This window comes from Homo sapiens, chromosome 11 (assembly GCF_000001405.40).
Source record: "Homo sapiens chromosome 11, GRCh38.p14 Primary Assembly".
In the NCBI taxonomy this organism is placed as follows: domain Eukaryota; kingdom Metazoa; phylum Chordata; class Mammalia; order Primates; family Hominidae; genus Homo; species Homo sapiens.
The window spans coordinates 123,944,800-123,958,291 of NC_000011.10; positions in this window are offsets into that span (position 1 = coordinate 123,944,800).

Below are 13,492 nucleotides of genomic sequence, written 5' to 3' on the forward strand. Positions count from 1 at the left end.
TAGACAATTAGATATCTTGGGTTCTTTTTTTTTTTTTTAAACATCTAGCACCAAATACTCAGAATCACATAGATTTGGCCTAATCAGGGAAAATGGAAAATGTTCTAAGACAAAAAGAATGAAAATGAGCATCAAGTTACATTGTTTAATTGACAAGGAATGAAGTGTTGAGAGTTTAGACAGTTTAACTGAGGAATATCTATTACTTCAGACCAACAGTGTTAAAGACGAGGAGCACAGATATTTTCTCAATTCTGTCTGAAGCTACTTTAACAGATAGTATTGAACTGAGGCAAGAAATCCAGGTTTGAAGGATATTTCTGTTCTGTTTACATCAATTTTGGAAAGAATAAGTCTGGGATTTAAGTAGCTAAGTAATAATAATGCTTCATTCTGCTAGTCTAGGGCTTGTGTCTCCAAAATCAAAGAAATACCATAATAAAACCCAGCAAAGGAGGCCAGAGCACTGTTTCAGGATAACATAATCATTTCAGATAAGGAAAACATGCTACTGTGGCTATTTCCAAAGCTTTGGTTAAATATTATTAAAAGTAACTTATAAAGTCCGTCAAACACACAAAATCAGTTTCTGGCTACTGTGATAAAATACATGCACTAAAGTCTGTTCTCTAGCCTCTCTTTGTCAACCTGAATAACTGCTTATCAGTTCTGGAGAGCCTCATCAGTTGGCTGGCTGTCTCTCAAAATGCCAGACCATAACACTATCATCCCTGTATACGCATGTTTACAATTTTGTCATTTTCAACCTCAAAATAATCTTAATGCTTTAAATCATTTGCTTAATGTCACACAGTTAGAAGTTGTTTGTACTATAGTTGGAAATGTTTTTTTGTTCCTATGTATTTTGCACTAAAAATACTGGTTAACAAGATGAGAATCAGTGAAGGGAATTAGAACTTTGAGGGACTCACATGCACACATTTTTCATTGACATAATGATCTAATTTACACAATTAGATAACTATTATTATTGTCCACTTTATAATTGAGCAAACTAGAACAGTGTGGGAAAAAAATACCCACCCTCAAACACAAAGCTAAGATACACATCTAAACTTATCTGACTCTGGTGTGTGTCTATGGCACTAGTGGATAAGACCATGAAATTTGAACCTATCAAGGGAAAAAAAGGATGTGGATTTAGAATGCCATAATATAATGATGCTTCTAATGATAACAGCTAGAACTTACTGAATAGTTACTATATGCCAGAGACTTTGTATTTATTTCATTGTGAAATATCTCAGCAACTATACGTTATTATTCTCTCCATCATACAGGCAAGGTTTAGGGTTCGAGGGATTAAGGACCCACATTAGTGAGTAGTAGAGTTAGTGAATAAAATTTTGGCAGTCTGAATTCAGAGCCTGAATTATTAGCTGCTAAACCACAATATCTTATATATGAGAGTTTGTCATTATAAATTTGATTTGATATCAATTTCCACTTGTCATCTTACTTCATCTGTCAACTAATGATAGGAATTCTACATATAGAAATAAATTGTTATAGTTTAAAGATTTGATCCTGAAAAAATGAAAACATCCCCCAGGATATGTGTTAGGTTGAGTTTCATCCAAAAGTCTTTCAGCTCCTCCTCCAGAGCAGTGGACAGTAGAGGTTATCGTCCCAATCACCACTCCCTATTCCCAGAAGATGGACACACCCCACCCCCTTGAATAAGTTGTTGAAACTTGTTTCTTCTTGTCCTTCAAGTTCTATTTCAGGATGTGCTGCATTTATATCACATAGAAATGGAAGCATTTTACTTGGCAACAAAGATGAAGTATTAATCATACGCTTTATTTCTTTTTTCTTTTGTTTTTTTTTTTTCCCGGAGTCTCCTCTCCTCTCTAACCAGGCTGGAGTGCAGTGGCGCAATCTCGGCTCACTGCAACCTCCACCTCCCAGGTTCAAGTGATTCTCCTTCCTCAGCCTCCCAAGTAGCTGGGATTACAGGCAGGTGCCACCACGCCCAGCTAATTTTCGTATTTTTAGTAGAGACAGGTCACCATGTTGTCCAGGATGGTCTCGATCTCCTGACCTCATGATCTGCCTGCCTCAGCCTCCCAAAGTGCTGAGATTACAGGCGTGAGCCACTGCACCCAGCCCCATACACTTTATTTCTAGCCACTAACTGGTTATAGATCTAGAAGCACACATAAATACATACTTATTTTATCAGTCCCCAGTAAGTATTCCCTTATGGCATTACTACATTTTGCTTGTTATCCTAAATTTGATGGAATCATCAAAATCGTCCTATCTCCCTTTTGTAAGATGGAACTTCCCTGCCAGGGCGTACCATACACCTGTGCTTATCAGACTCTTTCTCTAGCCCTTCATCCATCTGGACCATTTGCTTTTGTAAATTTCTCCTTGGCTGACTGATATTTGCTAATGTGTGTATTTAGTCTGCCTAACCTTGTTACCTCTCAGTTTGCAGTCCTTTCATGCCTTCCTTGGCCAAATCCTTCCCATTTTATTGACAACACTATTGCTTACTTTTCTTCCCTTTCTGCTCTGTAGATGTACTCTGGGAATCTTGAAGTTTGAATGGATTTTACACCGTATTAATCAAGGGTGACTTTAGATTTATTGGATTTTTCCTAAGAGTATGGAAAACTTGCACTGGAATCACCTGGTCTGTTTCTTAAAAATGCCGATTTCTAGGTTCTACCTATAAAATTGCAATTATTCTCTGGGTTTAGGGCTCAGGAATATAAATTTATATCAATTTGTATGGGTTATTCTTATTCAATCAAAAGTTGGAGAAATACTGGCTTTTGGGAGAAGGAAAAGTGTTGAGCAGGTTTGAGTATTATTAGGGTAAAGGACTGAAGTGTAAGGGAGGGGAAGGTTGAAGGTCAGATCTAGAAGGGCCTGCATATGGGAGGCCGAGTTTTCTAAACTAAAAGCATCACCAACTTTTTAATGTGGTGATAGAACTAACTATGCGGATGACCCAGAGCAGCAATAAATCTAGCTTTCTGAATTCTCACAACATGTGTGGATGGCTGTTGCAGCCTCTAATATGTCCACAGGCATGCAGAGGCTATTTTTTTTTTTCAGGTGTGGGCTAGCAAAGTATTCTCACAAGGGTGAGACTGCACACTTGTTGTGTGCTGGATAATCTACCAGGTACAGGAGGTACCTAGCAGAATGAGCTGAATAAACTACTGAGGAGCTCATAGTATATAAGGGTTGGATACATGTAAATGATAAATTCCATTATAACTCAAATTCCATGAGCCTTTAAACTCATCAGGTCAAAATCGGTTTTTAACTTAGCAAATAGCATGCTCTGTTCTTGCCATCTTCAAAGCAGCATATACTTATGTAATAACTATGAATATATTTTGAACAGTAGTTTGATAATCCTTATATTCTTATTTTCTTTATTTCCTCTTATTTTCAATTTATTTCTATATGTAGAATTCCTATCATTAGTTGACAGATGAAGTAAGATGACAAGTGGAAATTAATATCAAATTTATATTAATAAATATAATCCTTATATTCTTATTTGCACATATGTGCAAATTGTACACCCAGGTGATCAATGGAGATTAGAAAAATATTTGAATCTTACTCATCATTAAGTAGGACAAATAAAAAATTATCTTCTCATTTATATATATGTCAATTAAATCCATGACAAAAGTAAAATCACAGTTTCATGGGGGAAGAGAAAAGGAAGGTAAAATTTTGTTTGGGGACAGCATGGGACATTTCAAAAGTTTAGTAACATTTAACTGGATGTTTATAGAATAAGTTTTTTTGAGACCAAGCAGACACGTGAGTCTTTTAGGTTTAGAGTAGCCAAATACTAACATTTTGAGTTTTTTAAATAGGAGAATAAGGTTATGAAGATTATCAAACTACTGTTCAAAATATACTCATAGTTATTACATAAGTGCTTCCTGCTTTGAAGATAGCAAGAACAGAGCATGCTATTTGCTAAGTTAAAAAACTATTTCGAACTGATGAGTTTAAAGGCTCATTAGAACATGGGCTGAGTTGGCTTTTGAGACAGACAAAAATATAAGGTCTACCTTTGAATCTTTCTCATCTCTGGTAGTAGTATCATAATATTCTTGCTTTTTAGTAATTACCAAATAATCTTATTAATGGAATTTAAAAAGGTGTGTGAATATTTCCAGGTGTTTGCTTTTTATGTAGAAATACTTTGTCTTGAAGGCTTTAGATAAAATGGCTAACATTGTAATTGCAGAATAAAAAAATTTCTCTGAAATTGTCTATTTTGGGCAGGGTACAATGTCTTGTGATCTCTCAAATGTAATAGGTTACCAATTGCTCCTCTGTATGTAAAACCTTATCTTTCCATGAAACTTCAGTGAGTACTTTAAAGATAAACTTTCCAAAAGCTGGAAGCTTCTTAACTCAGTCCCTAGTGAAAAAGAAAGTTGTTAGGGTCATTTTCTGGATACTCAAAATATGCAAATCAGAGCTTCTCATAATGCAGTGCTGTACTTTATGGGCTCAAGTGTTGGTTTATCTGTGCAGAACTCAATAGCTGAGGATATAAATGAAGAGCTGTCATTCCTATCTTCCATCAGTAAATAGAAATTGTATAGCTGTGTACAATAAAATGTATCATAGTTTTAGTACTCTAAATCTTTATGCCTTAAATTACTTATAAACAAAACTCCTTGATTCCAATGAGTCCAGTTTTAAGTCAAGAATAAAAATAAATTTTGGATATATGAAGTTGCCTGACATAGGAGGTGATATAAGTTATCTCCTTTACCTGTTCCAATACTGCATTTCTTAGGCTTCTTCCCCTGGCCAGTTTGAGGAATGTGCACTCAAAAGTTCTATCAGGATCCTGTTTATGTTCAATGGAGCACACAGAAGGCTTCTTGAATCTGCAGTTCTTTATGCTTCAAGTAATACCAAGCAAAACTCCTTCTCAGTGTTGAAAGAGAAGTTACTATAAATTTGCATGATTATTTCTTTGTACCTCCAATCAATTAAAATTTACTTTAACTTGCTTTGAATGGAAATCTCAAAAGGGAATAACTTTGACCAAAGTTCTCTAAAAGTAAACTAATGTAATTAGTCCTTCAAGGCTTTAGGGGGTGAGACGTTTGAGATTTGTCATAGAGTATGAACTGTACTTCTTCAAAAAAAGATAGAGCTACTTCTTGTGTACAGAAGTAGTAGAAAACTTGTTACTGTATTTGAACTTTAAGAAATTCTCTTAAGCTAGGTAGTGACTCAGTGAGGCCTTGGGTATCTTGACGATGTAATGAAATTATAACAAATATATCCATATATATTTATCCATATATATATGGATATATATTTATCCGTATATATATCCATATATATTTATCCATATATATATGGATATATATTTATCCGTATATATATCCATATATATATGGATATATTTGAATATATATATATGATCAGTGTTAATTTGAAAATCCAATCTTTTTTTTTTTCAATGAGCATTGAACATTGAGTCACATACTAATTATGGTATATAATACTTGGCATGAACTTGGGTAAGTTACTTAAATTCCTAGCTTCAGTTTCTTCATCTGTAAAATGGGTTTCATAGGATCTTTAAGAGAAATAATTGTGTATAATTTGCACCCAGGTGATCAACGGAGATGAGAAAAAATATTTGAATCTTGCTCATTATCAAGAAGTTCAAATAAAAATTATCTTCTCATTTATATACATTCAATAAGCTCAAAGTATCTACTTATCAAATTATCTGCGTACTTCACCCCTTTCCCACCAAAATGTTGAACTTGTAGTTCATCAAAACCATACTGTAAACTGTTATGAGTTTACCTTTCTAGACGTGGTTATATTGAAATATTTTGCATGCACTGAAGTGTAAAATGAATGAAAAATGTTGGATTAAAAGAGATTCAATAAAAATCTAAAGAATATTTAAAAGCTTTATTAATGATTGTCTAACCTTGATTGGAATTTTAAAATGTGAAGTTATGTCAAAATGTGTAGTAGGGATTTTTATTTGCACTAAATTATGTTTTTTTCTCCTTCCCTAGAAGCCATTTTATGCTACTCTTAGGACATCATATGCTAAAGATATTATGGCTTAAAATAGATAATGGACAATGTTACACTGATGAGAATTATCTGTGTAAAGAAAGTTTTCAGTCATTCTAGGATTTCCAAACCTTGTCTTCTTAAATATGATAGAATGGTAAGTTCAATAAAAACTATCCATGTTCTGTGGGGAAAGGGGGTCAGTGAAGAGCCAGCCTTGCTGTCCTTTTCAGGAATTAGATAAAGTGTGCCTTAAGAGTGTCAAATACAGGTCTGGGCACTATGGGCACACTATTTCCACCTTTATTCTACCTTTCCTGCTGGGTCAACTTGCTACAGAACTGGGAGTCAATCCTGGAGTTCTAGTCTAAAACTCACTTCCTAAGCACACCTGGTGATTTTGTAAGCACTTAATTCTCTATTCTTTCTTGCTTAAAATAGCTAAAATCATTTCCGTTTCCTTCACTGAAGCTTAAATAATATAAATGCCAATGAGGAGGGACTTCTGTGAACTATGACAATAATCATCTTATCCAGAGGATATTTTGGTGTCCTACTTGTTCTGAAAGCTTCCCCTATAGAACAGCCAAGAAACAAGAAATGAGTTCAAAATAGAGTGCTCATTAACACATCTAATGATATCTACATTCATCTTGAGAAATAATGCCCCTATGTGACAATACTTCATCTTAGGAAAAAAAAAAAAAGGATATTAATCTGAGAGGGGTTTGGTATCATTGTTATTTTTTAAAAAGTGGATTTTTAAAAATTTTCTTTAAACATTTTTTACATGCCTACTTAATATGGTTAATCCATATGAATGGGTTAGGAAAAACTGAAATGTCTACTGATTAACTGAGTTACCTCAAAAACTAAACTGCAGCATTAAATTATTCTAAGATGTTACCCAAATCGAGAATATGTGTTGAATTACATAAAGTATGTAGCATTCCAGATCCTTTTCTTGAATCTCTTCTCCTAAACAAGATAACTTATTGGCTGTTTAAATGCTCTTGTGGAATGTTTCTTATCTTTTCCTTTTTGCCATCAAAATATACCTTTATTTGTTACATGAGTAACATAAACATTAAAAAATAGTGTATTATTGATTTTGCCACAACACTCCCAGAACTATTAGCAACTTAAAAAAAGTTAGAAGTGACGAATAAGAGCATTACATATTGATATAGGGGTCAATTCAATAAGAAGAGCTAACTATCCTAAATATATATGCACCCAATACAGGAGCACCTATATTCAAAAAACATGTTTTTAGAGACCTAAAAAGAGACTTAGACTCTCACACAATAAAAGTGGGAGACTTTAACGCCATACTGTCAATATTAGACAGATCATTGAGACAGAAAATTAACAAAGACCTTCAGACCTTGAACTCAACTCTGGATCAAGTGGACCTGATATATATCTACAGATCTTTCCACCCCAAAACAACATAATACACATTCTTCTTGGCACCACGTGGCACTTACTCTAAAACTGATTACACAATTGGAAGAAAATCACTCCTCAGCAAATGCAAAAAAAAAAAAAAACCCTGAAATCATAACGAACTGTCTCTCAGACCACAGCACAATCAAATTAGAACTCAAGAGTAAGAATCTCACTCAAAACCACACAACTTCATGGAAACTGAACAACCTGCTCCTCAATGATTCCTGGGTAAATAATGAAGTTAAGGCAGAAATTAAGAAGCTCTTTGAAACCAATGAAAACAAAGAGACAACGTGCCAGAATCTCTGGGATGCAGGTAAAGCAGTGTTAAGAGATAAATTTATAGCACTCAACGTCCATATCAAAAAGCTAGAAAAATCTTGAATCAGCACCCTACCATCACAACTAAAATAATTAGCGACCCCAAAGCAAACAAACCCCAAAGCTAGTAGAAAACGAGGAATAACCAAGATCAGAGTGGAACTGAAGGAGATAGAAATATGAATAACCTTTCAAAAAAAATCAATGAATCCAGAAACTGTTTCTTGGAAAAAAAAATAATAAAATAGACCACTAGCTAGTCTAATAAATAAGAAAAGAGGGAAGAATCAAATAGACCACAATAAAAAAATGATAAAGGAGATATCACCACTGACCTCACAGAAATACAAACTACCACGAGAGAATACTACAAACACCTCTATGCACATAAACTAGAAAATCAGGAGAAATGGATAAATTTCTGGACACATACACCCTCCCAAGACTGAAACAGGAAGAAGCTGAATCCCTGAATAGACAAATAAGTTACAAAATTGAGGCAGTAATAAATAGCCTACCAACCAAAAAAAGCCCAGGACCAGATGGATTTACAGCTGAATTCTACCAGAAATACAAAGAAGAACTGATATCGTTTCTTCTAAAACTATTCCAAACAATTGAAAAGGAGAGACTCCTCCCTCACTCATTTTATGAGGCCAGCATTATCCTGATACCACAACCTGACAGAGATAAAACCAAAAAATAAAATTTCAGGCCAATATCCCTGATGAACATTGATGCAAAAATTCTCAATAAAATTCTGGCAAACTGAATCCAGCAGCACATCAAAAAGCTTATCCATCATGATCAAGTTGGCTTCATTCCCAGGATGCAAGGCTGGTTCAACATATGCAAATCAATAATTTATCACATAAACAGATCTGAAGACAAAAACCACATGATTATCTCAATAGATGCAGAAAAAGCCTTTGATAAAATTCAACAATGCTTCATGTTAAAAACTCTCAATACACCAGGTACTGAAGGAACATACTTCAAAATAATAAGAGCCATTTATGACAAACCTACAGCCAATATCATATTGAATGGGCAAAAGCTGGAAGCATTCCCTTTGAAAACTGGCACAAGACAAGGATGCCCTCTCTCACCACTCTTATTCAACATAGTATTGGAAGTTCCAGCCAAGGCAATCAGGCAAGAGAAAGAACTACAGGGTATTCAAATAGGAAGGGAGGAAGTCAAAATACCTCTGTTTGTAAATGACACGATCCTATATATAGAAAATCCCATTATCGCATCCCAAAAGCTCTTAAGCTCATAAGCAACTTCAGCAAAGTCTCAGGATATAAAACCAATGTGCAAAAATCACAAGCATTCCTATACACCAACAACAGGCAAGCAGAGAGCCAAATCATGAATGAACTCCCATTCACAATTGCTACAAAGATAATAAAATACCTAGGAATACAGTTAACAAGGGAAGTGGAGGACCTTTTCAAGGAGAATTATAAACCACTGCTCAAGGAAACTAGAGAGGACACAAACAAATGAAAAAATATTCCATGCTCACGGACAGGAAGAATCAATATTGTGACAATCACCACACTGCCCAAAGTAATTTATAGATTCAATGCCATTCTCATTAAACTACCACTGACATTCTTCACAGAATTAGAAAAAACTGTTTTACAATTCATAATACAGAACTCAGATATAAGATCACATATCTACAATCATCTGATCTTCAACAAACCTGACAAAAACAAGCAATGGGGAAAGGATTCCCTATTTAATAAATAGTGCTGGGAGAACTGGCTATCCATTCGCAGAAAATTGAAACTGGACACCTTCCTCACATGTTATACGAAAATTAACTCAAGATAGATTAACGACTTAAATGTAAAACCCCGAACTATAAAAAACCTACAAGAAAATCTAGGCAATACCATTCAGGACATAGGCATGAGAAAAGATTTAATGATAAAGTTGCCAAAAACAATTGTAATGAAAGCAAAAATTGACAAACGGGATCTTATTAAACTAAAGAGCTTCTGCACAGCATAAGAAACTAGCATCAGAGTGAACAGGCAACCTATAGAGTGAGAGAAGTTTTTTGCAATCTATTCATCTGACAAATGCCTAATATCCAGAATTTACAAGAAACTCAAACCAATTTACCAAGAAAGAAACAAACAACCCCATTAAAAAGTGGATAAAGAACATGAACAGACACTTCTCAAAAGAAGATATTCATACAGCCAACAAACATATGAAAAAAAGCTCAACATCACTGATCGTTAGAAAAATGCAAATAAAAACTACAATGAGATACCATCTCATGCCAATCAGAATGGCCATTATTAAAAAGTCAGGAAACAACAGATGCTGGTGAGGTTGTGAAGAAATAGGAACAGTTTTACACTGTTGGTGGGAATGAAAATTAGTTCAACAATTTTGGAAGATGTGTGGTGATTCCTCAAGGATGTAGAACCAGAAATACCATTTGACCCAGCAATCCCATTACAGGGTGTATACCCAAAGGAATATAAATCATTCTATTACCAAGATACATGCACAGCTATATTCATTGCAATACTATTCACAATAGCAAGGACAGGGAATCAACCCAAATGCTCATCAATGATAGACTGGATAAAGAAAATGAGGTGCATATACAACGTATACAACATGGAATACCATGAGGCCACCAAAAGGAATGAGATCATATCCTTCGCAGGAACATGGAGGAAGCTGGAAACCATTATCCTCAGAAAACGAATGCAGGAACAGTAAACCAAAACCCGCATGTTCTTACTTGTAAGTGGGAGCTGATCAATGAGATTACATGGACACAGGGGAGGAACAACACACACTGGGGCCTGTCAGGGGGTTGGGTGGGAGGAAGGGGAGCATTAGGAAAAATAGCTAATGCATGCAGGGCTTAATACCTAGGTGATGGGTTGATAGGTGCAGCAAGCCATATGGCACACGTTTACCTATGTAACAAACCTGCACATCCCACACATGTACCCCAGAACTAAAAATAAAAATTAAAATTACAAAAAAGAAAAAAAAATGTTAGTAGTTAGCCTCAGTGAATACCAGATTGTTATAAAATTTCAAGCATCTTTAAAAATGAGCAACAGAGGTGAGTGATGTCAGCGAGATGACAGAATAGAGATTCCAGCCCTCATCCTCCTATGGAAACACTGATTTTGGCAGCATTCATGGATGAGAATATCTTTGTGGGAGTTCCAAAAGCTAGCTGAGAAGTTCCAGCACCCCAGTAAAGTAAAAAATCCAAGAGTGGACACATTAAAGAGAGAAAGAAGGGAAGTTAAATTTTATCCATATTTTCCCTCCTCAATACTCTCTCTGCTGAGTCCTCTCAGTTGTGATTTTTTTTCCCATGAAACAAGGTATAAGTGAAGTGAGCTCCTGGCTTCCCCAGTCTTCCAGGAGCCCCTTGTAGGTCTTTTCTTACCCAGAACACTGAGAAGTTCAACATAACTGAATGCTGTGAGAGCAGCTAGGCACAGGGAGAAGAGGCAGGGAGTAACAGAAACCAGGGTGTGGAATTCAACAGCCTGCCACAGATCCTGCTGACTAACTTGCAGACTCCACCAAAAGGCCCACCTACAAACCTTGCCTGTGGACTCCCCAAACCAGTCAATGTAAACCCTCAGTGCCTCATGCACCACCCCCCAGGTGGACAGTGCACTGTGTACACCTGTGATGGCCTGCACAAGCTCCTACAGTCAGCACACAGATCTTAACAGCAGGAGTGAATCTTGGCAGTTGTCTCAACTCTGCTGGTTTGGGAGAAGGTGCACATCTTGTATACTTCAGGGCACTTCCCTAGGGAAAATAAACAGGCAGCTGTTTGCAACAGCCCGAGCTTTGTAGGATCAGGGGAAGGCACACAATCCTAAGACTTTCTCCTTAAGAGGAAACAAGAGGATCAGAGGAGGCACATCTATACAAAAGGCATGAGAGACCCTTAGAATCTCTAGGCAGGCTTACTGGCAAACTCTCTTTCTCTCCTGAAGCCAGTCTGTAAAGACTGAAGGAGGTTACTTTTTAAAAAGTGAAGATAGCAATGTAAAACTTCAAGAAATATGAAGAACCAAGAAAATATAATACCAAAAAAGAGAAGAAAATAAAGCTGTAATGACTAAACCCAAAGAAATAAAGATCTACAAATTGCCTAAAAATAATTTAAAATAATATTCTTGAAGAAGCTCAGTGAGCTACACAAATAGACAACTAAACACTATCAGGAAAACAATACTGGAAAAAAGTGAGACATTCAGGAGAAAGACTATGATATCATCCCTTTTTAATGGCTGTGTAATATTCCATGGTGTATACATACCACATTTTCTTTATCCAGTCCACCACTGATATGTTTAAATTGATACCATGTTTTTGCTATTGTTAATAGTGATGCAAGGAACATACATATGCCTGTGTCTTTATGATAGAACAATTTATCTTCCTTTGAATATACACCCATAATGGGATTTCTGGGTTGAATGGTAGTTCCATTTTAAGTTTGTTGAGAAATCACCAAACTGCTTTCTATAATGGCTGAACTAATTGGCATTCCCACCAGCAGTGTATAAGTATTCCCTTTTCTCCACAACTTCACCAGCATCTGTCATTTTTTGACTTTTTAATAGTAGCCATTCTGACTGGTGTGAGATTGTATCTCATTGTGATTTTGATTTGCATTTCTCTAATGATTAGTGATATTGAACACTTTTTTCATATGCTTGTTGGCAGCTTATATGTCTTCTTTTGAAAAGTGTCTGTTCATGTCCTTTGCCCACTTTTTATGGGGTTGTTTTTTTGGTTTTAAATTTGTTTAAGTTCGTTATGGCTTCTGGATATTAGACCATTGTCAGATGCATAGGTTGCAAATATTTTCTTCCATTCTGTGGGTTGTCTGTTTACTCTATTGATAGTGTCTTTGCTGTGAAGAAGCTCTTTAGTTTAATTAGGTCTAATTTGTCAGTTTTTTTTTTTGTTGTTGTTGCAATTGCTTTTTGTGTCTTCGTCATGAAATCTTTTGCCAGGGCCAATGTTCAAAATGCTATATCCTAGGTTTCCTTTAAGGGTTCTTATAGTTTTAGGTTTAACATTTAAGTCTTTAATTCATCTTGAGTTGATTTTTGTATATGGTGTAAGTAAGTGGTCCGGTTTTAATCTTCTGCATATGGCTAGCCAGTTATCCCAGCACCATTTATTGAATAGGGTGTCTTTCCCCCATTGCTTGTTTTTATCATCTTTTTTTTTTTTTTTGAAGATCAGAATGTTGTAGTCATGTGGCTTTATTTTTGTGTTCTCTATTATGTTCCATTGGGCTATGTGTCTGTTTTTGTACCATGCTGTTTTCGTTACTGTAGTCTTGTGGTATAGTTTGAAGTCAGCTTTATTCTCTTTGAATTGATATGGCTATTCAGGCTCTTTTTTGGTTTCATGTGCATTTTAAAATAATATTTTTCCTAATTTTGTAAAGAATGTCATTGGTGGTTTGATAGGAATAGCATTGAATTTGTACAATGCTTTGGGTAGTATGGCCATTTTAGCAATATTGGTTCTTCTTATCTATGAGTATGGAATGTTTTCCATTTGTTTGTGTTATCTCTGATTTTTTCTTCAGTGTTTTGTAGTTCTACTTGTA